Below are 23,471 nucleotides of genomic sequence, written 5' to 3' on the forward strand. Positions count from 1 at the left end.
CCATTCATTATATTTCAGTAGTGGAAAGAATGCTGCTCTGGGAGGCAGTAGGCCTTTCTGAAGTTATTTGTTGTCAGCAGTTTTTTTTTTTTTTTTTTTTTTACTTTGAATGGACTACTTAATCCTCTCTGAATATATTCATTTGAAAAGTAGGAGGGCAGTTGATTTCTTGATATGTGAGTGAGGTAATAAGGAAACAGGGGAACTACTGTCCCTCCTAGTCATGCTACAAAGAAAACAGAACTTAGAACTTCCAAGAGATTCCTTTTATCCTAGGGAATGAAGGCAGCCCAGAGAGGTTTCAGGGCAAAGGGTGTGGCTGTTTATTTATCTACAAATTATGGTGTCAGTCAGGACACAAAGTTTGTGGAGCTTTGCCCATTTATCATTACAGATTAGTACACAAACCGATAACTTTATGGCACTTGTCGATCGAGTTAAAGCAGCAGCTTTGCTTATCTTTGGAGAGCCTGGCTCAAATTGGATACCTGGTTTCTTTTGGTACCTTACATTTGTGGGGTAAAGATGATAGGAAGCTTTAGAGACCTAAGTACATACACACTTGTAATTACTTGAAGGTAGAAGAATATCATTAGCTATCTGTGAACATGCTGTGTTCATGGACATCTCCCTTTGAGAAGTGCAAATTCTGTGAGATGAGAAATCAAATTTGGGCCTGTTAGTTTATCTGAACACAAGACTTTCCACATGTTGGGCCCATTTATCTGTCTTAGAAAAAATCTCAAAAAAAAATGCCCTTGTGTTTCCGTCTCCTTCATGTGACTGAGTTCCCTTGCTCTGCAGTGATGCCATTGTTCTGCCGCTCATGGTTACACATCAGCCTAAGCCCACTGTCGCCTTGAGTCAGTTTTCTTCTGTAGGCGGCTTTTGACCTTGGAGGTGGTCAGTTCTGGGCCCTCTGTGGTGTGGAATTCTTTTCATGAGCTGATAGAAGCTCGAGTTGCATATCCTAGGGGATTCCAGGGATTTATATTTTGGTGCGTATTTATAACTGGGTTGTCTGGTGGGTGTGTGTTTGACTGGGTTGTCAGTGTAAAATTAAAAGGGTGTTGAAATGAAGTGTGGACCCAGAGCAGTTACGGCCTGGGATAGAGTAGTCATGGGATTGGACACAAAACTAGAACTGCCGATTGTAGAGCATCGTGGGTGTTTATAATTCAGTCATTATTATTATTCTAGGTACTGTACTTGTTCTGATTGTTATAAAGGTCATATTAAGGATGAAGAAGGAGTGAAGAGGGGAAGAGAGTGGGGAGGATGAGCCCTTGCCCCAAAGAAGTAACAGGGAGTTGTGCCAAAATGAGCAGTACATTTATGTTCACAGTGGTGATCATCAGAGTTTAAATAGCTTCTGGTCTGTTTGGGAAATCTTTCATGAAGATCACGGCTCTTTGTTTTTGTGAGAGGTTTTGTGTTGAATAAAGTTAAACTGTCAGCCTTGTTGTCTATTTTTATTTATTTTTGTTGGAGCCTTTCAGTGAGCAGTGTTTTCTGTCCCCCTGGGATTGTTGGTTAGGATGTACGAAGGGGAGATCTTTTGTCTTTTGGTGGTTCTTACTCATTTGGGGTCTAGAGAGCCAGAATGGGGCCCATTCTAGTAGTAGCAGTGTTCTGCTTACCTCTTCCTCTGAGGAAATAGGAGATATCTGCTGGGTTTGTTCCTTTGTAGCTCAAGGCGTTTATTGCCTTCTGGGGCCCAGGGTCCTATCTTTCTCAAAGAGTCATTTACTTGTTTCTGAAATAGGAAAAAAAGGATAGAGTCAGACATTTTCCTTATCTACCCAGTGACCCAACTTTTCCATGTTAATAATGAACACTGTGTCAGGTCTTAGTATCTAACGCTTTCTCAAAAAATTGTGCATGCAAAAGAGGTGTAGATTGTTGAAGGTGTGTCGTGGGGGCGGATTCTGGTGGTGGTGAGAGAGCTCTTGTGAGATTGTTGATTTACAAATCAGTATTTACATCTGTTTTTGCAGGGGTTAAATATAACAAAAATATGTCCCCCGCGTCCACCTATTCATCCTCCCCATTCCTGCCTCCAAATCTTGGGACTGTTTTAAGTAGTGATGGGTGGGGGTGTTTTTGGATTGTCTTTTCTTGACCGGAATGGGAAATCTCCATAGCTGATTTGACAGTAGACAAAGGGGAGCCCTAGTCGGCTCAGGGGCTGGTCTCATAAGGGAAAGGGATAATTATTTTCCATAAGCCGAGGTATGAAACCACTTTCATTTGTGCCTCGTTGACCACAAGTGTGCCACCGACATCCTGCCTCATGACTTGGCATTTGTTCTCAGTCACACCAGTGTGTTGATCTGGTGAGCAAGTCAGTGGACAAGCCTGGGCTGTGCTCTGCAGACCCTGTGCCCTGCTCGCCCCTCTCCCTGGAGCTCTGTGCTCCATTGGAAGCTTCACATGCTGACCTGCATGTGTACAGTGATGGGCAAACTCCATGTTCATATTGACCATGCCAAGCAGGCCCAAAGCCAAATCTGCCCTGGCATCGGAATGCCTACCCTGCTTAAAAAGCAATTCATTTTTTTTTCTCTTTGCAAAACTTGAGTGAACATAACATTTATTTTTCACTATCAATGGCAGCAAACCATGCATTCTGATGACCTCAGAGAGGGCCCTACCTCAGCCATGGGGGCTGCTTTTATAATTTTTCTATCATCTTAAAGTGCACACACACACACACACACACACACACACACACACACACACACACACACACACAGAAATTGCTGCTGAAAATGAAAGCTGTCTTTGGATGCTTGACTGTTTGATATGTAATGTGATAACCTTGTCTCACAGTGACAGGGTGACAGACGGCATTGGCTCTATAATACAGAATTACCTTTTGTGCATCTTTTCTACAACAAAGCTAAATACATTGAGTCACCCTAATATGCTAATGACTTTGGTGTGCTCCAGATGTTTTAGAAGCCCTGGAACAGCCTCAAAGCCCTCCTTGTTTTTCCTTTCTTTTTAACCCTTGTTTTGGGGCACTGCTTTTGTGGAATAGAGCCATTGGCTTTTCCTTTAGTTTTCTATTGTCATGTATGTGTAGCTAATGAGAGAGGACTGGTAAAACTTCTTTGTGTCTAAAACATCATAAAATGATACAGACTACATGCTCTAGTCCCTTTTTTTTTCCAGATATTAGAAAAGAGTTGTCTTCTGTCCATACATTTGTGTTCTGAAATCTGTCGTTCTCATTGGTTGCTTTAGAAGTTCCTTCAGCTAAAGGAATCTTTGGCCTAATTTGTGTTTCAATTTTCCCAACGCCCATCATATAAGGCAAGAGGGAGATAGCCATACACTAGTGTCTCCAGTTACCAAGAACAACAGGAATTCCTATTCCATTTTGATGCTGCTGTTCCAGACTCAGAAGCCTGTTTTGTTGTATTGTTTTGTGCGGTCTTTTCATTTCTTGCTAATTTGGGAGATGCGGTGAAAAGCTCCTGAATGTGCAGAGCTGCTGATGGCAGGGTTCTGTTGTGTTCAATTTCTTTAGAGTTCTCGGCTGCACAAATGGACACTGCCTTGTGGCTAAATGGTCTTGGATCCCAGACGCACTTCTCCCGTCAGCTGATGGTGACTAGCTGAGGTTGCAGGCACAGTAACCAAGCTGCCTTTACTGCAATGATTTACAATTTTCAGCTCATATTTATTGCTTTTGTGAAAGACAATAGACATGGTTTAATTTAAGTTCAACCTACTGAATATTAATAGAGGAGAACAAATGCTAATGGGATAGACTGACTCTTTGGGCCATTCATTCAATTTCCTCTGTTTAACCTCCTCTCCCCAACAAAGGTTTGTGTTGGTCGGGGTGGGGGAGGGGGTTGGAAAAATAAAAACGGTTTGAGTGTGTGAAGGAGGGGATGCCATTTCATTATTTCTCGTTGACTAAAAATAATAATTTTAACAATTGGTGGCAGGGCTTTGTTAGGGGAGAGAAAAGGCAGTACATTAGCTTGGCTAATGTTATAATAATGGCTCTGTTGCCCTGTGGCGTCATATTCCATCTTGCTGACCTGGCCCTCCTGGATTGGGCAGGCTGTATGATTGGGCTTAAAACATTCAAAATGAAATGTGGTAGCCAGTACAGTGGAGATTGGTCGCCAGCGGGGGGGTTAGATAAAGAAAAAGCCCAGGTTTATTTAACCATGTAGGCTGTCTGACTATTAATAAATGTAAATGTTTTCTGGGCTGATATATACAGAATGGAAGTACTCACATTGAAAAAGTTGATCACGTGCAGAATAAAGTCAGTCTTGCGCCTTCGTAAGGGCCAGTAAAATCTATGGTCCTGGCCAGGCGCGGTGGCTCACGTCTGTAATCCTAGCACTTTGGGAGGCTGAGACAGGTGTATCACAAGGTCAAGAGATCAAGACCGTACTGGCCAACATGGTGAAACCCCGTCTCTACTAAAATTACAAAAATTAGCTGAGCGTGGTAGCGAACGCCTATAGTCCCAGCTACTCAGGAGGCTGAGGCAGGAGCACTGCTTGAACCTGGGAGGCGGAGGTTGCAGTGAGCCAAGATTGTGCCACTGCGCTCCAGCCTCATGACAGAGCGAGACTCTGTCTCAAGGTCGGGGGAGAGGGGAGCCTATGGCCCTTTAATTTGTATAAAGGCAGTTCCTTATGTATGGGCCCCATTTTATGAATCTGGAACATGAATGTGATTCTCTTCTAGTTCAGGTACTCATTGCAATCCTCAGAATGGTGGAAAACTTGGAGTTCTTGGAAGATTTAGTTAGATAAGGGCCTGGAACAATGGAGTCAGTACTTTGATTTCTTTTTGCTCAGTCATGCCTTATCAGAGTAGCCTTATCTGTTTTGCATTTTGCTTACATAAAATCGTTTAATATTCCTAGGTATTTTTCATGTGTAAAATCTCTTCATAAAATTACCCCTAATTTATACTTAAGCAATTGATTTGCAGGGTGAGAGGGTGGTTGGGGAGAACATTACACATCTCTTTACATTTATGCTTCTTAGACATGCACATTTTTTCCAACCTGTTAACTTTTTTGTCTCTATTTGTCACGTTGGCTGATTCTTGTAACTTTGTGACATTTTGCAGGCAAGTGTCTTTTTTTTTCTGCAAAATTATTGATAAAAGGTACATGAGGCCATGTGCGGTTTTCACGCCTGTAATTCCAGTGCTTTGGGAGGTCGAAATGGGCGAGGATTACTTGAACCCAGGAGTTTGAGACCAGCTTGGCAACAAAGCAAGACCCCATGTATAAAAAAAAAAGAAAAAAATTAGTGGGGCATGGTGGTGCACACTTGTAGTCCCAGCCATTCGGGAGGCTGGCTTGAGCCTAGGAGGACTGCTTGAGCCCAGGAGGCTGAGGCTGTTGTGAGCATGTCACCGCACTCTAGCATGGGTGACAGAGCAAGACCTTGTCCCTCTGCACCCCCACCCCCCAAAAAACAAGTCCCCAGAGCAGCCAAAGCAGCATTAGTGTCACCTGGGAATGTGTTAGAACGGGGGACACTTGGGGGGTGATTCGCATGCATGCTCAAGTTTGAGAGTCACTTCTCTTTACAGTCACCCAGATTCATTTTGTCAGGAGGACAGAAGCAAAGCTGTCATCAAAAAGCTTAACTTTCTTACTTACTTGCTAAATCATTTGTTCATTCTTTCATGCATTCACCTCTTATTCAGCTAAGACTTCAGCTGCTGTTATGTACCAAAGGGTATAGGAACCCTTCCCAGTCTTCCTGAGCTGCTCCTAGTCCTTATTTAGTTCGTTTTTTATACCAATATAGCTCTTCTTCCTCCTTGTCCTCTTCGTCCATCACCACTTCGTGTTTTTAGGCTTACTGCAAATCCCAACTTTCTTGTTCTTGTTTTGGTATTGCAAGCTTGCCGGCTGGCTCCATTGGCTCACTCATTATCCTCTCCATCACATTCTTTTCTTCACTTACTACTGAGTGATGCATATGTCTGTGTTTGTCTGTCTCTCCTAATTTTAGATTTTGATTAACCTGTATCCCCAGTGCCCTGGCATATAGTATTTGTTAAGTAAATTAATGGATAAATTCAGAATTGATCCCTTTTTTGCCTTCTGTGCTTTATTCTCCATTATGTTATTCCCACCTTGTGCTATTGAAAAAAGGAAACTTCAGGTCAGGTGCAGTAACTCATGCCTGTAATCCCAGCACTTTGGGAGGCTGAGGTGACTGGATCCCTTGAGCCCAGGAGTTTGAGATCAGCCTGGGCAACATGGCGAAACCCCATCTCTACAAAAAATACAAGGATTAGCTGGGCATGGTGGCATGTGTCTGCGGTCTCAGCTGAGGCAGGAGGATTTCTCCAGCCCAGGAGGTCAAGGCTGCAATAAGCTATGGTTGCGCCACTGCCCTCCAGCCTGGGCAACAGAGCGAGACCCTATCTCAAAAGCAAAAAGAAAAATTTGAACTCCACCAAGACGATACATATTTACGATGTGCATCCTCTTTTTTTCCTTTTCAGTTTTACATCTGGTTCTTTAACCAGCATTTTTATTTTCAGTTTTCTCTATGGTAATTTATCCATCTTCTCTTTTTACAGATAAGATAAATATTATGTTCCTTGGCCAACTCTAATCTCAGTTAAATGTCGTCTGTATCCTAATTGGGTGGGAAGAGGGATCCCCCACTCGCATAGTGACACTACTAATGTGATCTGAGTGCTGATCAGTAAAGATATTATTTAAACTACATACGTAATTTTAGTTTCTGCAGTCACACTCAAAAGAAGTAGGTGAAATCAATGTTAATATATTTGATTTAATCTACTCCAAAACATTTCCACAATTAATACAACATTGTCAATGACATGTTACATTCTGATATTAAATTACAATTAAGTAAAATTAAAATTTATTTTCTTATCCACACTGGGCATATTTCAGGTGATCAGTAGCTGCACATGACTAGTGGCTACTGTAATGGAGAACATGGCTTCAATCTCTGAAACACTGGCCACGCTTTTATCCTTGGATTCTTAGATTTCCATACAGTTGTCTTCTTTTGCCCTCACAGTGCAGACTCCCAGCATTTTCTTTGGGGGTTTTTGTATGTTTCTATTTCTGTATTGTAGTCACAACTCTTAAAGCCTCATTAGTCGAAGTGAATAACCGTGTGTTTTATTTTCAACCTCATGTTATCACTCATACTCTGAAATGATGTAAAAATAGGTAACTGGGGAAATGCAAGCAGAAACAAGCCAGGTCCCAGGGCTTTGTTGATGTGTACTATGTTCATTCAGAATGTTTATGTATTTTTTAATCAAATACATAGAACACTGTGTTCTACATAGTGTTTAGTACAACTAACAGAAGTCACTTTCTGAGATACTTCAGTCACAAAGACTTAATACAGAGAAATGAAGTGTGCATAAAATTGGTGGAAGGACTAGAAGAGCAAAAATCAAGGGGCCACTCCGTATTTTTGGCTTCAAGATCAAGCACCGTAAAACTGCAGATGCTGTGCTAGCAGTGCTGCTCCTGCCCAGTTCTGGTTGCCTTCGAGGGTTGTGACTAGATAGTGGACAGCGGGTCTAGTTGCTGTGGACATGTCTTATCAGTGGAAGCTTCTTGTTGGCAGAACCTACATTGATGTAAGGGACTCTGAGGCTTTGTTATTCACCCGTTTCCCTATAGTGTGACCTTACTGCTGGTTAGAATACTTCCATATCAGTTAGTACACAGCTGCTTTTTAGAGCCCCCAAGGGCCTGCAGCTTCTTTCCATATTTTGGTTACTAAAAGCACATCCATGAGCACCAAGACTCCCCTGCTTATCATCTGCTATCATAGAGAATCCTTATCCTTTGAGATGATCAAAGGCAAATCCGGTTACAATCTAATCTTGTAGATGGCTATGAAGAAAAACAAGTGGAGTAGGATTTCTAGTTAATATCTAAGATGTAGCTGCAAAGATAAGGATGCCTTTTCTTGTGTGGCAGGTACTGGTTCCTGCAGGCAATTCCAGAAAGGATTTCAGTATCTGTAGAGTCAATATTTACCTCTTCAAGAGTGACTAGTTTGATAACAGATACTCCTTTCTTCCTTTCAACCCTTTAGCTGCAAAAGATGTTTATGTACTCTTTAAAAACGAATCCTGAAGTATAGTGTTACAGTTCCAAATTTCTGCTCAAATTTCTTACTGTTGAAATTGTTTCCCTCTTAGGCATTTCACTCTCTTTAAAGGTCTCATAGAATGAGGTTTTGCTTTTCTCCACCCATTCAAAAGGGATGTGTGCTTTTAAATTCTCTTCTATCCACATTCTTGTCTGTCTTCATCAGCGTTGTGTAGGGTTAACTGTGGTAAAGTGCTGCCTCCTGATGTGATGTATTTAAGTGTTTGTCCCCTTTTCTCACCTGTAGGGCTCCTTGGTAATGACCAGTCTAAGGGATTAGGACCAGCATCAGAACAGTCAGAGAATGAAAAGGACGATGCATCCCAAGTGTCCTCCACTAGCAACGATGTTAGTTCTTCAGATTTTGAAGAAGGGCCGTCGAGGAAAAGGTTAGTACCCAAGGCTGAAAATATTGGTACCTTCAACCAGGGACTGCAAACTCAGGTGCCAGTTTTCACCACATGATAACGTGAGCCCATTCACCCAATCTCTTGATTTTCATAGAGGAGCCAGAATCATGAGGTTTCGTATCAAATGCCCTGCTTTCTAAGTATTGTCTAATAATTATAATTAAAAACGGGAAAAAAAAGTGCTCTGGACTGACAGCACATGTTCCTGCTGGAACAGTTAGCCAAAGAGTTGCCAGCTTGTAATGCCTGTCTTAACTGTTCATTTAAATTGATTCTCAGCAGCAGCCATCTTGAGGAATATATATATTAGGTGATGTTTTGCCATTTCTGAAAAGAGATCTTTCTAAAAATTTGAAGAAGTAAATGTGGTGTTTCTGAGACGTTTTTTCCTTGTCAGGAAAGCTGAAATTACACTGTGTATTTTTAATCCCTTGCTGTTTTACCAAGTTCCAAGTTAGTAGCTGTGGAATTGGTGCTTAAAACTTAGAACAGCAGTTATTTTTATGTGGCTTTCCTAAATAAGCTTCAGATAGTTTGGTAAGGAAGTTGGCTTTAGTAGTTTGATAACAGTTTGTGGTTTCATGGTCAAACAGTGGCAGTGACATTTTATAATAATGATTTTACTTGGGTGTTTTTGAAACCCTTTGCCTAGTATCTACCCTACTTCATACCTGATATGTTACTTCCTTTTTTTCCCTGTTAGAATTTATATTTCCCTTTGTTCTCTTTATGTTTACCTGGAGGACCAGCTTCCTGACTTTTTCTTAGAATTTGTTCGTTTCCGGGATTGAAGGAAAAGAAAAAAAAAATCCCCCTTGTCAGTTCATCTCTGTTTACTCATTCTGGAGAATTTACTTTTTAGAAGCAATCTACATGTATCTATCTAAAGAAGAACAGAATAGAGTGAAAAATTAAGAGAAAAGGACAAGATTAGCCATGTGTAGATATTTAAGATTCCTGTTTTCAGGACTGAAAGTTGAGATGCATAGCTCAAAGTCTTTATTTTCTCCATCATGAGGGTGTCGTCTTTTAAATAGCCTTTTAAATACATTGAATCTGTATTCTTCTCTCATTTTCTCTTCATCCTCAGCACTTTGTCTTAGAAGATGTCATAAGATTCGTTATTAGTATAGTTAGGATCTTCCCGTGTACTGAGCTTTGTATGTCACTCCTTTAAAAAGAGTGTCTCAGTGATGAACCTGTTATATTACAGATATTCCATAACAAACATTCCCCTGTTCCAGTTTAAAGCATGAATTATCACAAGAGAGTGATTTTAAGGATGTGTAAAAAATTGTGTCAGTAAATATATTGGAATGTGTGATAATATTATCCATGCCTCCAACATGGGCATCTGGCATGCATCTGGCATCAACTTTCATCTCCATTTGGGGAGCAGAATTCTCTGAGTCTGGGCACCCACTCCTTTAGCTATGTGGCTGGCCATCACCCTCACTTCTGGCTGAGAGCTGGTCAGCATCCGGGTGCAGTGATGTGTGTTGTAGGCTTCATTCTTAAGGAGGAGGGACTCTTTGTCCCTAACTCACTGTGATTCTCTCAGAAGATAGTGTTGCTAGCTTTCTCTTTGTATGGGACCACAGTGTCATGTGGCACCTGAGTGCAAAGCAGTCATTTAACTGGAATTCTTTAAGGTAGTAGAAAAGAGGAACTCTTTTTCAGAGTTAGCTGAAGGAAAACTTAGCCTTGGCAAATCGTTTTTAATTATTAATGTGTCAAGTATCTTACTGAATTAAGGATTCATTACAGCCTACTAACTTGGTTCTGGTCTCATCAAGGTTTTATGTGGATTAAGGTTTGATAGGCTTGGGTAGATTTTGGGGATGGGCTGGGGCACTCTTGATTATAGGAGGAAGATTTTGTAGCCTTCAAATGTGTAGTGTCATTAGGGTATGCATTTCTTTTTTTGGGGGGGTTGAGGGAGACAAGAGTCTCGCTCTGTCACCCGGGCTGGAGTGTGGTGGTGCAATCTCAGCTCACTGCAATCTTTGCCTCTTGGGTTCAAGCGATTCTCATGCCTCAGCCTCCTGAGTAGCTGGGATTACAGGCACACACCACCATACCTGGCTAATTCTTGTATTTTTAGTAGAGATGGGGTTTTGCCATGTTGGCCAAGCTGGCCTTGAACTCCCAGCCTCAAGTGACCCACCCACCTCCGAAAGTGCTGGGGTTATAGGCGTGAGTCACCACACCCAGCAGGGCATGCATTTCTTGGGGTGTTGCAGGGTATGTAGCAAGCATAAAATGATAACTTAAAGTCTTAAGAACTCCTTTGTTTTGATCCTTCGTCAGTATTTAGTGGGTTGGGTATGAACCCTGCCTTCAAAAGCAGAGTAAATGACTTGGGACCTGAATTTCCAGAGCTTCGGTAGTATACTGTTGAAACTGTAATATGTAACCTGTCTTCAACGCACATACAGAATGCCTTTTCTAATAGGGTAATGGAATGTGCTGACTCTGAAGATGAGAAGTTGAGCCTAAAGTAACTACCTATAATGGTTAATTTTAAAATATCTTTAGTGGATTGTTAAACAGATGCTGGTTTTTTTACTTGCGAGTTTTAAATTTCTGAAACATTATACATGGGAAGAGCTTGTGTTTTTGTTTTTTTTTTTTTTGTTTTTTTTTTTTTGAGACTGAGTTTCGCCTTTGTTGCCCAGGCTGCAGTGCAATGGTGCGATCTCGGCTCACCGCAACCTCTGCCTCCCGGGCTCAAGGGATTCTTCTGCCTCAGCCTTCCGAGTAGCTGGGATTACAGGCATGCGCCACTATGCCCGGCTAATTTTGTAGTTTTAGTGGAGACAGGGTTTCTCCATGTTGGTCAGGCTGGTCTCCCTACTTCAGGTGACCCGCCCACCTCGGCCTCCCAAAGTGTTGGGATTACAGGTATGAGCCACTGTGCCCGGCAGGGAAGAGCTTTTAAGACTGACCATTTGCATTCTCTTTTGGTCTTTAGACTTTGTAGGAGAAAATACTGATTCCTAAAAATTCATATTGTTGTAGTTTGTTTCGTGTTGCTGTAACAGAATAGCTGAGACGGGGTAACTTTAGAAATACAGAAATTTATTGGCTTACATTTCTGGAGGCTTGGTATTCAAAGATTGAGGGACTGCATCTGGCGAGAGCTTTCTTGCTGCATTATAACTTGGCAAGAGAGCACAAGAAAGTGCTAAGCTCGGTTTTTGTTGTTTGTTTTTCTTTTTTAAGTTTAGTTTTTAAAGAGATGGGATCTGGCTTTGTTACCCAGGCTGGAATGTAGTGGTGTGATCATGACTTACTGTGTTCTCTAAAGCCTGGGCTAAAGGGATCCTTGTGCCTCAGACTCCTGAGTAGCTGGGACTACAGTCAGTCACATGCCTCCACGCCTGTCTAAGCTTGCATTTATAACAAACCCACTCCCTAGATAGTGACATTATTCCGTTCACGAGGGCAGATCCCTCATGATGTAATCACTTCTTAAGATCTCACCCTCTCAGCACTGTTGGATTAGGGATTAGGTTTCCAACACATGAACTTTGGGGGCCACATTCAGATCATACTGCAGGGTCATAATTTATGTATGTGCTTTGGAAAGAGCATTTTCACTTTATTTTTTAGAATGATACGAATTGCTAGTTAGCTATACTTGTAGATTTAATTACTCCTACTCTACACATCCTTTTATGTGCATGATTTTAGAATCATCAGCAAAAAAATATGCCTTTTGTCTACAGTAGGGTGATGGGGAAAGGGGAAGACTGAGAGGGATTGTATGTGCTTGACTTCCTTCTTATGGAAAATAAAAATCTATGGTGGAGACTGATGCCAGCCTCAGTTCCAACTTTATCTAGTCTGCTTTTCCAACCTGCACGTTGAAGCAATTACATTTTTCTGATGATGCTAATAACATGTTTTAATTCTTCAGTTAAAACATCCATGTGTTTACTTAAGTGTTGTTTTTCTGCAGAAAACCCCCTGAGTCAGATTTTGCTGTGTGTATTTACTGCCAGTGCCTTTACTTGACACTAGGGATCTTTTTAGCTATAGAAACCAGTGGAGTCCAGAGTTCTTGAGGGTTTTGGAGTTTCCTCAAATTTCTAATTCTCTTCCTCAGAGTTTTTCTTTATGGAGGCAACTACAACAACAACAAAACTCAAAACCGGTATATTTTTACCTAGCCATTGAAAGGTCATCTGAGATGCCTCTTTACAAAAGGAAAGCCAGTCCCCCTTCAGAATCTGTCTGCTGTGTTCACGGAAAGGGCAGCCCAAGAAAAGATGAGTGGAGATTCTGTGCTGGTGGGACCCTGAAGGCTGAGTCTTGTTTTTAGTTCTAGATGTTGTTTTTCTTTTTCTTTTGATCATTGTGGTGGGTGAGATTGTTTTTTTTTTAAATGATATATTTACATAGTTTATAACATATATTTTTTTGTTTGTTTTTATTTATTTTTATTGATCATTCTTGGGTGTTTCTCACAGAGGGGGATTTGGCAGGGTCATAGGACAATAGTGGAGGGAGGGTCAGCAGATAAACAAGTGAACAAAGGTCTCTGGTTTTCCTATGCAGAGGACCCTGCGGCTTTCCGCAGTGTTTGTGTCCCTGGGTACTTGAGATTAGGGAGTGGTGATGACTCTTAACGAGCATGCTGCCTTCAAGCATCTGTTTAACAAAGCACATCTTGCACCACCCTTAATCCATTTAACCCTGAGTGGACACAGCACATGTTTCAGAGAGCACAGGGTTGGGGGTAAGGTCACCGATCAACAGGATCACGAGGCAGAAGAATTTTTCCCAGTACGGAACAAAATGAAAAGTCTCCCGTGTCTACCTCCCTCTACACAGACATGGCAACCATCCGATCTCTCAATCCCTTCCCCACCTTTCCCCCCTTTCTATTCCACAAAACCGCCATTGTCATCATGGCCCGTTCCCAATGAGCTGCCGGCTACACCTCCCAGACGGGGCGGTGGCCGGGCAGAGGGGCTCCTCACTTCCCTGTAGGGGCGGCCGGGCAGAGGCGCCCCTCACCTCCCAGACGGGGCGGCTGGCCGGGCGGGGGGCTGACACCCCCACCTCCCTCCCGCACGGGGCGGCTGGCCGGGCAGAGGGGCTCCTCACTTCCCAGTAGGGGCTGCCGGGCAGAGGCGCCCCTCACCTCCCGGGCAGAGGCGCCCCTCACCTCCCGGACGGGGCTGCTGGCCGGGCGGGGGGCTGACCCCTCCACCTCCCTCCCGGTCGGGGCGGCTGGCCGGGCGGGGGGCTGACCCCCCCCACCTCCCTCCCGGACGGGGTGGCTGGCCGGGCGGGGGGCTGACCCCCCCACCTCCTTCCCGGACGGGGCGGCTGGCCAGGCGGAGGGGCTCCTCGCTTCCCAGTAGGGGCGGCCTGGCAGAGGCGCCCCTCACCTCCCAGACGGGGCGGCTGGCCGGGCGGGGGGCTGACCCCCCCACCTCCCTCCCGGACGGGGCGGCTGGCTGGGCGGGGGCTGACCCCCACCTCCCTCCCGGATGGGGTGGTGCCAGGCAGAGACGCTCCTCACTTCCCAGACGGGGTGGCTGCCGGGCGGAGGGTCTCCTCACTTCTCAGACAGGGCGGCTGGGCAGAGACGCTCCTCACCTCCCAGACGGGGTCATGGCCCGGTAGAGGCGCTCCTCACATCCCAGACGGGGCGGCGGGGCAGAGGCGCTCCCCACATCTCAGACGATGGGCGGCTGGGCAGAGACTCTCCTCACTTCCTAGATGGGATGGCGGCCGGGAAGAGGCGCTCCTCACTTCCTAGATGGGATGGCGGCCGGGCAGAGACGCTCCTCACTTTCCAGACTGGGTAGCCAGGCCGAGGGGCTCCTCATGTCCCAGACGATGGGCGGCCAGGCAGAGACGCTTCTCACTTCCCAGACGGGGTGGCGGCCGGGCAGAGGCTGCAATCTCGGCACTTTGGGAGGCCAAGGCAGGCGGCTGGGAGGTGGAGTTTGTAGCGAGCCGAGATCACGCCACTGCACTCCAGCCTGGGCACCATTGAGCACTGAGTGAACCAGACTCCGTCTGCAATCCCGGCACCTCGGGAGGCCGAGGCTGGCGGATCACTCGCGGTTAGGAGCTGGAGACCAGCCCGGCCAACACAGCGAAACCCCGTCTCCACCAAAAAAATACGAAAACCAGTCAGGCGTGGTGGCGCGCGCCTGCAATGGCAGGCACTCGGCAGGCTGAGGCAGGAGAATCAGGCAGGGAGGCTGCAGTGAGCCGAGATGGCAGCAGTACAGTCCAGCTTCGGCTTGGCATCAGTGGGAGACCGTGGAAAGAGAGGGAGAGGGAGACCGTGGGGAGAGGGAGAGGGAGAGGGGGGAGAGGGAGAGGGAGAGGGGCTAACTTATATTGTTTAGAATGGAACCATTACAGAGACTTTCATCCTGTTCTGAATGTGAAGGTGGCCCTGCCTATCTCCTTTCTCATTTTGCCCTTTTATTCCACTCAGTTCTTCTTGTAAAGTGTGTATTTGCCCCATCAGTCTCTCAGTATGTGTAGAAACCAGAATGGATGGATTTTGGTCATTTGGGTGTGGACTTGTGGTCAGAAACTCTTTGGAAGGATGGTTATGGAGGTGAGGATTATTTGTTTGAGGAATGAAACGATAATGTACAGTTAATTTGGTGATGGTATATTTTTAGATGCAAGTAAATACGAGATCTGAAGTGTACGATTCAAAAGAGGTCATCTGAGTTGGCGACTAAAATAGAGAGCAAGATTAACTGTTTATTTTTATCTGTGGGTGAGTAGGGGGAAGAGGGTAGAAAAATTTCACGAGAACAGTGGTTCTTAAGCGGGTTTTGTGGAGACTGTGGTGCAGCATAAGAGTATAGACTGGGGCCAGGCTGTGTGACTTCTCATTATATCTTGAACATTTACTTGTTGTGTTATATAATGCAACAGGTATTGTATCATACCTGTTGGGCAGGTTATATAATATGTCTGGGCCTTAGTTCTCTCATCTGAAAGATGTGAATCACAGTAGTAACTGCCTGATGGTGTTTTGTGACCTGAATAAATTAATTCTTGAAGAGAATTTTGGTGTATTGGTTGGGTGCAATGGCTCACACCTATAACCCCAGCACTTTGGGAGGCTGAGGCCGGCCGGCCACTTGAATCCAGGAGTTGGAGAGACCTGCGTGGGCAATATGGCGAAACTCCATTTCTACCAAAAAATACAAAAAAAATTAGCTGGGCCTGTTGACATGAGCCTGTAGTCCCAGTTACAGGAGGGTGAGATGAGAGGATCGTTTGAGTCTGGGAGATGGAGGTTGCAGTTAGCTGTGATCGTGCCATCACACTCCATCCTGGGGGACAGATCCAGACTCTGTCTCAAAAAAAAACTAAATAAGCGAATAAATAAATAAAAAATTCTCATGTATAAATGGTACTCTGTATGTTAGATGTTAGTAGCCATTGTCAGTATATGTGACACATGAATTGCTACATGTGAGTATGCACATCCTTTCGAGACTTCTCTGACTTGTTTCAGAGGGTTTTTAATTTACACAAATGATTTATATCTTTCCTCTCTGTCAGCCCTACCACAGCCATCTGTAGGCAGATGGAAATGTATGGGTACTCCCTCTTTTGAAGTTATTGAGTCACGGGAAGGACCCTGTGGTGTATGTTGTAAATTTCCTCTGCCGAGCTTGGTGCGACCTAGTATTTGCCTGAATGGAGCAGGCAAGAGTGGTGGGGTGAGGAGATTCCATCGTGGCTGCTCATGCATTAGTCATTGCTTCACCTTAGGGAGAGACCCAGAACCCTAATGTTTAGTGTTGGGATCTCTTGTTAACTATATTCCTCTTTTTTTTTTTTTTTTTTTGGTAAGACAGTCTTGCTCTGTCGCCAGGCTGGAGTGCAGTGGCATGATCTCGTCTCACTGCACCCTCCGCCCTCCCGAGTTCAAGCCATTCCATGCCTCAGCCTCCTGAGTAGCTGGGACTACAGGTGCATGCCACCACACTTGGCTAATTTTTGTATTTTTAGTAGAGACGGTTTCACCATGTTGGCCAGGATGGTCTCTATCTCCTAACCTCGTGATCGCCCGCCTCGTCCTCCCAGAGTTCTGGGATTACAGGCATATGAGCCACTGTGCCCGGTCAACTATATTCTTTAGAAGGGTATATTGCTTTTTGTGTACTAACAGACTTTAAAATAAAAACTCTTAAGAGTTTCTATTTAACTAGTACAGAAGTACCGACTCTGTCTCTAAAGGGATGTAACTTTTTTGTTAAACAAGGAGCTGCTGTATTTTAGTTAGGCTTTCGATCCAATAGGACTTAGTTTAAACACTGTTTGTCCTATTAGATTGAATTTTGAATGTAAAGAATCATTGGAAGTGTATGGATTTCATAACTCAGTGTACTCTGAGATATGACATGCCTCTGGATATGAAGACATGTTGAAAGTGGTGAGAATTCTCTCAGGCTTTTAACAGGTATGATATTCACAGCTACATTGTCTGCACGACTGTGTTCCTTATTCTTTTTGGTCTGAGTTACTTTGATGGTATAAAATACTTTTATTTACTTCGAGTTTGAAAGGAAGATAAGCCCAAATGTATACGAATCTTCTTGATAGCATGCATGAATTGGGATTATTCAAAGTGAGCATCCTTAATAATTGGAATTATATTAAATAAGTGCCTAGTTTTTACTCATTCCTGTATCAAAAATAAATTAGTAGTATAATTTACTATTAAATGCAAAAAAGTGAAAGCAAAACAATCAGCAAAAGGCTTAACATTTCTCTTAACCCTTGATTTATATTTAGAAGCTTCCACTGATCAGGTTATTTGGAGTTTATTTTGTTCTTACAACCTGGAGATATATTTTATAAATAAGAGAAGTACTAGTTTAATTTTCAACTTTAGAGTTATCATGGGTGAAATGTACTCTCTACTACAGAAAGTAAAGAAAAATTGAGTAATAGATTATGATGTGGCAGTTTTGAACACAAAAGATGTGGAAGTAAATATAAAGTAAATATGGGTAAATCTCGCCTATCTTCTGTTTCAAGTTATCTACGTAGTTGCCATTTTTGTTTCTAGTATCATTTGCATTTGCTTTTGCTTGAAGGATTTTAACATTTCTAACATTAGGTCTGCTGTTGATCATTCAGCTTTTGTATGTCTGGGAAGATCTCATTTCACCCACATTAAAAAAATACTTTTATGATAATTGTAGAATTACATGCAGTTATACAAAATACACCTTCATTTCTTATAGATATTTTTGCTGGGTATAAAATTTTAGGTTAATAGTCATTCACCATCAGTACTTCAGTGACACTGCCCCACTGTCCCGATGTGCATCATTTCTGATGAGAATCCTGTTGTTATTTTCATAGCTTTGTAGGAGCAATCATTTACCACAATTTTCTTTTGAATCCCTTACTGGTTTTAGGCAATTTGATACGATGTGCCTTGGCAGTTTTTATTTCCAGAGTTTGAGATTCATTGAGTGTATTAGGTTTGTAGATTTCATTTACTATGGAAAAATTAGAGCCATTATTATTTCAAATATTTTCGTGTGCATTCGTCTCCCCTTTGGGGACCTAATTTTCATATATATTACTCTGAAGTTGTCCCATAGCTCATGTGTTTTGTTCCTTTTTTGATCTGTATGTTGCATTTTAGATAGTTTATACCCTAAATCTGCTGGTAAGACTATTGAATATATCTTTTATCTCAGACATTGTTATTATATTTTAGAAGTTACAGCTGGGCACGCCTGTAATCCTAGCACTTCGGGAGGCCGAGGCGGGTGGATCACCAGGTCAGGAGTTCAAGACCTTCCTGGCCAACATGGTGAAACCCTGTCTCTACTAAAAATACAAAAATTAGCTGGGCGTGGTGGTGCGCATCTGTAATCCCAGCTACTCAGGAGGCTGAGGCAGGAGAATTGCTTGAACCCAGGAGGCGGAGGTTGCAGTGAGCCAAGATCACACCACTGCACTACAGCCTGGGTGACAGAGCAAGACTCCATAAAAAAAAAAAAAAGAAGTTAGATTTTGGTCTTTCCATAATCTTCAGTGTCTCTAGTAATATGCTTATTCTTTGGTGTTTCTTGAACATGTGGAGTACAGTTACAAGAGATATTTGAGTATATGTGCTATTTTTGTCTTCCATTATTTACAAAACAGTTTTGATTGATTAATCTTCCTCCTCATCAGTCATATTTTCCTGCATCTTTGCATGTCTGGTAGCTTTTTATTACTTGACAGACACTAAATTTTTCTCTGGCTGTGGGAAATGTTCGTATTTCTCTACATATTCTTGAGCATTGTTCTGAGATCTGATTATTAGGGAACAGTTTGATCTGTTTGGATCTTGGTTTCAAGCATGGTTAGGTAGGGCCAAAGCAGTGTTTACTGTGAGGCATTGTTTCCCTGCTACTCAGGCAAAAACCCTTACGAGTATTTTACTTGATGTCCTATGGATTATGTTTACCATGTAGGCTAGTAAGAATGGGCACTATTCCTGGTGCTTTTACAATTTGGATACTGTTCCTGCTAATCCTTTCTGGAAATACTTTCTCTTGGGTAGCTTCCTAACACAAATGTGCTTGTTAGTACTCAGCGGAAGACATGAGGAGCGCCTTTGGCAGATTCCATTGTTGTCTGTGTGGCTCTGGCCTCTGCTGTGCTCTGCCTTACACATTATATCACCTTGGCCTCCCCTTGTGTTTCTCAACCCCGGCTCTGCTTGCCCTTTCCGTAACTGCTGCAGCCTGGACATTCTCTCAGGGCAGTGAGCTGGAGGGATCATTTGTTTTCCATCCGTCAGGGATCACAGTATGTTGCTATATGGTGGCCGTTGTTTTGTGTGGATTTTTAGTTCTTTCAGACAGGCAAGAGGTATAAATCCTGTCTAGCTTCACTAAAAGCGGAAGTTCTTTCTGTTCTTTGAATGTTGAATGAGAGTGTGAGAGAGACACGTACCATCAGGAAATGGAACTAGCCACGGTCATAGCTTTTCATTTAGTTTTGTTAGTCTTTAAAAAAAAAAAAAGGTGAACAGCGTAAGTAAGCCCTGACTCCAAGAAAAAAAATTCAAAATTAATAAACATAAGCATTCGGCCTATAATAAAAATAGTAAACTCCATTCCATAATAAAGCCTGTGACTATTAGAAGTCCTTCTTTGAAGCTATGTAATCTGTCTCTTCCGTTAGGAAGAACTGACCTTAGCCTAGATAATATTGTGCTAAAAATTTTTACCTTAATTCTTTTGAAATACCTGTTTTTAAGGTTTTACCACCCTCACTTGGCAGCTGAGTTAATAGGATTTGGATCTAAGCTTTCACATCTATAATGCCTGGACTTTGCCACTGTACCATGTCACCTTCCATAAGTTGTAGCAAATGTAGGTCTGAATTTTCAGGTGTGTGCATCTGGACAGCAGTTGGCTTGGTGAGCTGTACTGGGGGTGGGGGTGCAGTTTGAACTGGGGTCTGGCCTGGTCCACAACTGTGCTGAGGGGCACCTCTTGCTGTCATGCCTAGTGTTACTCTTCAGCTGACCTCTTCTAGTAAATAATCTCTTCTGCCAAGGGATGTATTCCTTCTTTTCTGAAGTACATGAAATGCCTTGCTTCATTATAAACTGAGCGATGGATAGAAAGGGGAAAAGTTTTAGCTTATCTTGAGCAGAACCTACAGCTCCCGAAATCCTCTCTTGGGTCCTCCAATGTTAGAGGTCCTTTTGTTTAAGGACCCTGGAGAGAAGCGCGTCCAGGAGAGGGCCCAGCTCAGCTGACTGTTGTTTCAGGTAGCTGCTGCAAGTAGATCTGTGATTACTTGTTGATTTTAGTGGGTGGTTCTCTGTCCTTCTGGACGAATACTCTTTTTCTTTACTTTTCCTGCAGTGAGCTGGAGTTGGTAGGTTTGGGGTGGCTCACATCACAGTGCTTGCTTGTGCATATTCACCTTTCCCATGGAAATCTTCCAAGTGTGGGAGGGAAGTTTGTATTTCACGCACTGTGCCTTCACCTTGATCAGCAAGGTGAACCTGAGTTCCTGGGTTTCAGTGTCTGAGGTTGGATAGCACAGAGCTAAGGAAGCGTTTTCTGAGTGTGCCAGCAATTCTCGCTGGGCTGTGCATGCTCTGTTTCCTGGAGGCTGCACATGCTGCTCATCGACATTCGTGGTCAGGTTCTTTCCCTGCAGCAAAAACCCTTGGTTCAGACCTCATTTAACTCACAATTTCTCACCTCTGCTCTAGGGGTACCCAAGATGGTGGCTGTGTCTCCCCACTTCTGCTTCCCCATCAGGAAATAGAGCCCCACCATGGGTGTCTACACAATAGATGAAGCTGGTCAAATAAACACGAAATCTGACTGGTTTTGTGTGGGCTTCCCCGCTCCCCCTCCCTCTCTCAGAATTTTAAGTGCTTGGCAGAATACTGCTTATGTGACTCTGTTTTGGGATTATAAAACAATCTTTTGTATTGCTCCAGTTTACAGGAAGCAGCTCCTTTTTTCTCATTAATGACGCCTGTTGTTGAGTCCATCTTGTCTTCTCATGGGTTAGGCCTACTTGACTATGCTATCAAGGCTTACAGGTGTAGCCTAGTCTTTTTTTTTTTTTTTTTTTTAAACATTTATTTGAGACAGGGCCTGGCTCTGTTGCCCAGGCTGGAGTGCAGTGTTACGATATCGGCACACTGTAACCTCCGCGTCCTGGGTGCAAGTGATCCTCCTGTCTCAGCCTCCAAGTAGGTGGGACTACAGGTATGTGCCACCACGTCCAGCTAATTATTTTCATTTTTTGTAGAAGTAGGTTTTCACCATGTTGCTCAGGCTGGTCTCGAACTCCTGGGCTTGGTTGATCTGCCTGACTCAGCCTCCCATTGTTGGGATTACAGGTGTGAGCCACTATGCCTGGCCTGCATCCCAGTCATCTGTCATTGGAAAGAAAGCTGAGGTCCAGCTCGTTTTTTGAGGTTGGGGACAGGATAGTGGTTTTGGCTTTTGGGAAGAATTGTGCAACTACTAAATTCAGAAGGATTAATATAGGAGGTAGAGTTCAACATCACAGAAGGAAGAGTTTGGATGGGGAATGTGGTTTGTTGGTGTAACACTGTGGGGCAAGTTGTTCCTGAGTCATGGGACAAAGACAGGCTGGTATTTTAAGTTCACTTTTATGGGTCATGTGTGGGTAGATTTGTGTGGCTTACGTGGCAGGATGGACTGCAGGTTCCATTTCAAATTGTTACTACCTAGATCAGGATAATTAAGTCTGAGAGGTACCTCTGTATGCTTGACCTCACCCTGGGCTGAGCACGTACGTTTTATCCTTGGTATGGGATATCTGTTTGCAGGATGCTGGAGAAGCTTGTCACTTCTCATCTCCACTCCTTGCTGGCCTCTGCTTCCCTTGGGGCCGTGATAGGGAAGAGGTGTGAACATGTGTCTGGTGACCAGTGTTTTGGGTTCCTGCAACTGTGAATACCTTTATGGTGCTGCTGTGCCTTTGCAGGTGCCCTGTCTTTGGGTGGAGCTCCGTTTTTGTTTTCCCCAAGACACCTCCTCTCCCGGAGGGTCTTTTTGTTAACCTCTGGTCCCTTTCTCTAGTGGTCAGGCTTCATCCCCTCGTTGGTCTGCGTTGTTTGGCCAGTACTTACTACTTTCACTGCTTAGACATCTGAGCCCGCATTCCTAAACTCTTTCTGGGAGGCACACAGACGTGGATAGACCTGTATGTATTCATCCCTGGCTGCCTCTTTTTTTTTTTTTTTTAAGAGATGGGGTCTTGCTTTGTTGCCCACATTAGTCTCAAACTCCCAGCCTCAAGTGATCCTCCTGCCTCGGCCTCCCAAATTTCTGGAATTACAGTCATGAGCCACTGTGCCTGGCCATTGACTGTCTCTTGATCTTCAAGCCCTTCTTGGCTTATTTTGATTTGGAATTGATTTACACCAGGAGGAGTTCTCCCTCCACAATCCTCCAAATGTTGTGGCTTAGTGTCAAACATGTTTTTCTAGCCCAGTCTTATAATTAACCCTTTGATTAGAAATTAGGAGAAAAGAGCAAAATTTATGATTATAGATTCATATAGACTGGGCTTGAATCTAAAGTAATACTCTGTCCCTGGGGGAGTCAGTTATCTGAAAGAAGAGCAATTTTGCAGAGTGGCTCTGTTGATGTTAATAACAGCAAACACTTGGCCAGGCGTGGTGGCTCACGCCTGTAATCCCAGCACTTTGGGGGGCTGAGTTGGGCGGATCACCTGAGGTCGGGAGTTCGAGACCAGTGTGACCAACATGGAGAACCCCTGCCTCCACTAAAAAAATACAAAATTAGCTTGGTGTGGTGGCGCATCCTTGTAATCCCAGCTACTCAGGAGGCTGAGGCAGGAGAATCGCTTGAACCAAGGAGGCGGAGGTTGCGGTGAGCTGAGATCGTGCCATTGCACTCCAGCCTGGGCAACAAGAGCAAAACTCTGTCTCAAACAAAACAAAACAACAACAACAACAACAAACCAGCAAACACTTACATAGCATTTATGATGTGCTGTCCACTTCCACTGTTTTACATTCCTTACATATGTTAGCCCATTTTATTCTCATAGCAAAATCATTAAGATACGTTATTTTATTATCATCCCCATCCTACCGATGAGAACACTGAGGCACAGAAGACTATACTTGTCTGGGAGACAAGGCTCCCGGTATGTAATACAGACTCAGTAAATGATGTCTGCTCACCTTAAATAAGTCAATGAAGAGCCATCATAATGTACTGATGACAAACAGAGAATAGTATAGTTGTACCTTCAAAATTTTTGGAGTGGCCTGAGAATTCTGGGGTGTGGCAAAGTGATTCCATTTTAACCTTCAGAGGATTGTGACCTCCAAGGAGCACATATGCATAGGTGCT

The 23,471-nt window shown here is 43.6% G+C and overlaps 1 protein-coding gene across 20 annotated transcripts in view, besides 5 other annotated features; it reads left to right on the forward strand.

Moving 5' to 3' along the window:
• The window catches only part of JARID2 (jumonji and AT-rich interaction domain containing 2), a 275,974-nt gene that overhangs the window by 155,750 nt on the left and 96,753 nt on the right, over window positions 1-23,471 (forward strand). For 18 of the 20 annotated variants that reach the window (XM_011514579.4, XM_017010833.3, XM_047418735.1 and 15 more), the window contains one exon: window positions 8,406-8,547. The exons of the other annotated variants lie outside the window; for them this stretch is intronic. In XM_011514579.4, the coding sequence (XP_011512881.1) occupies window positions 8,406-8,547 (142 nt within the window). The remainder of the gene's footprint in view (window positions 1-8,405; window positions 8,548-23,471) is intronic. 20 annotated transcript variants of the gene reach the window in all.
• Window positions 820-1,320: an enhancer, noted in NCBI's record as "H3K4me1 hESC enhancer chr6:15402869-15403369 (GRCh37/hg19 assembly coordinates)". NCBI's record gives its function as "activates a minimal SCP1, AML or CMV promoter by ChIP-STARR-seq in primed H9 embryonic stem cells {active_cell/tissue: H9 hESC(primed)}" and the evidence as "EXISTENCE:reporter gene assay evidence [ECO:0000049][PMID:30033119]".
• Window positions 2,180-2,474: an enhancer, noted in NCBI's record as "tiled region #1760; HepG2 Activating non-DNase unmatched - State 19:H4K20". NCBI's record gives its function as "activates a minimal TATA promoter and a strong SV40 promoter by Sharpr-MPRA in HepG2 cells {active_cell/tissue: HepG2}" and the evidence as "EXISTENCE:reporter gene assay evidence [ECO:0000049][PMID:27701403]".
• Window positions 2,544-3,234: an enhancer, noted in NCBI's record as "NANOG-H3K27ac-H3K4me1 hESC enhancer chr6:15404593-15405283 (GRCh37/hg19 assembly coordinates)". NCBI's record gives its function as "activates a minimal SCP1, AML or CMV promoter by ChIP-STARR-seq in primed H9 embryonic stem cells {active_cell/tissue: H9 hESC(primed)}" and the evidence as "EXISTENCE:reporter gene assay evidence [ECO:0000049][PMID:30033119]".
• Window positions 11,624-11,791: a silencer, noted in NCBI's record as "fragment chr6:15413673-15413840 (GRCh37/hg19 assembly coordinates)". NCBI's record gives its function as "represses an EF-1alpha promoter that drives an FKBP-Casp9 reporter gene in an ReSE screen in K562 erythroleukemia cells {active_cell/tissue: K562}" and the evidence as "EXISTENCE:reporter gene assay evidence [ECO:0000049][PMID:32094911]".
• Window positions 20,682-20,741: an enhancer, noted in NCBI's record as "active region_24081". NCBI's record gives its function as "activates an Ori minimal core promoter by ATAC-STARR-seq in GM12878 lymphoblastoid cells {active_cell/tissue: GM12878}" and the evidence as "EXISTENCE:reporter gene assay evidence [ECO:0000049][PMID:35858748]".

This window comes from Homo sapiens, chromosome 6 (assembly GCF_000001405.40).
Source record: "Homo sapiens chromosome 6, GRCh38.p14 Primary Assembly".
Classification (NCBI taxonomy): Eukaryota; Metazoa; Chordata; class Mammalia; order Primates; family Hominidae; genus Homo; species Homo sapiens.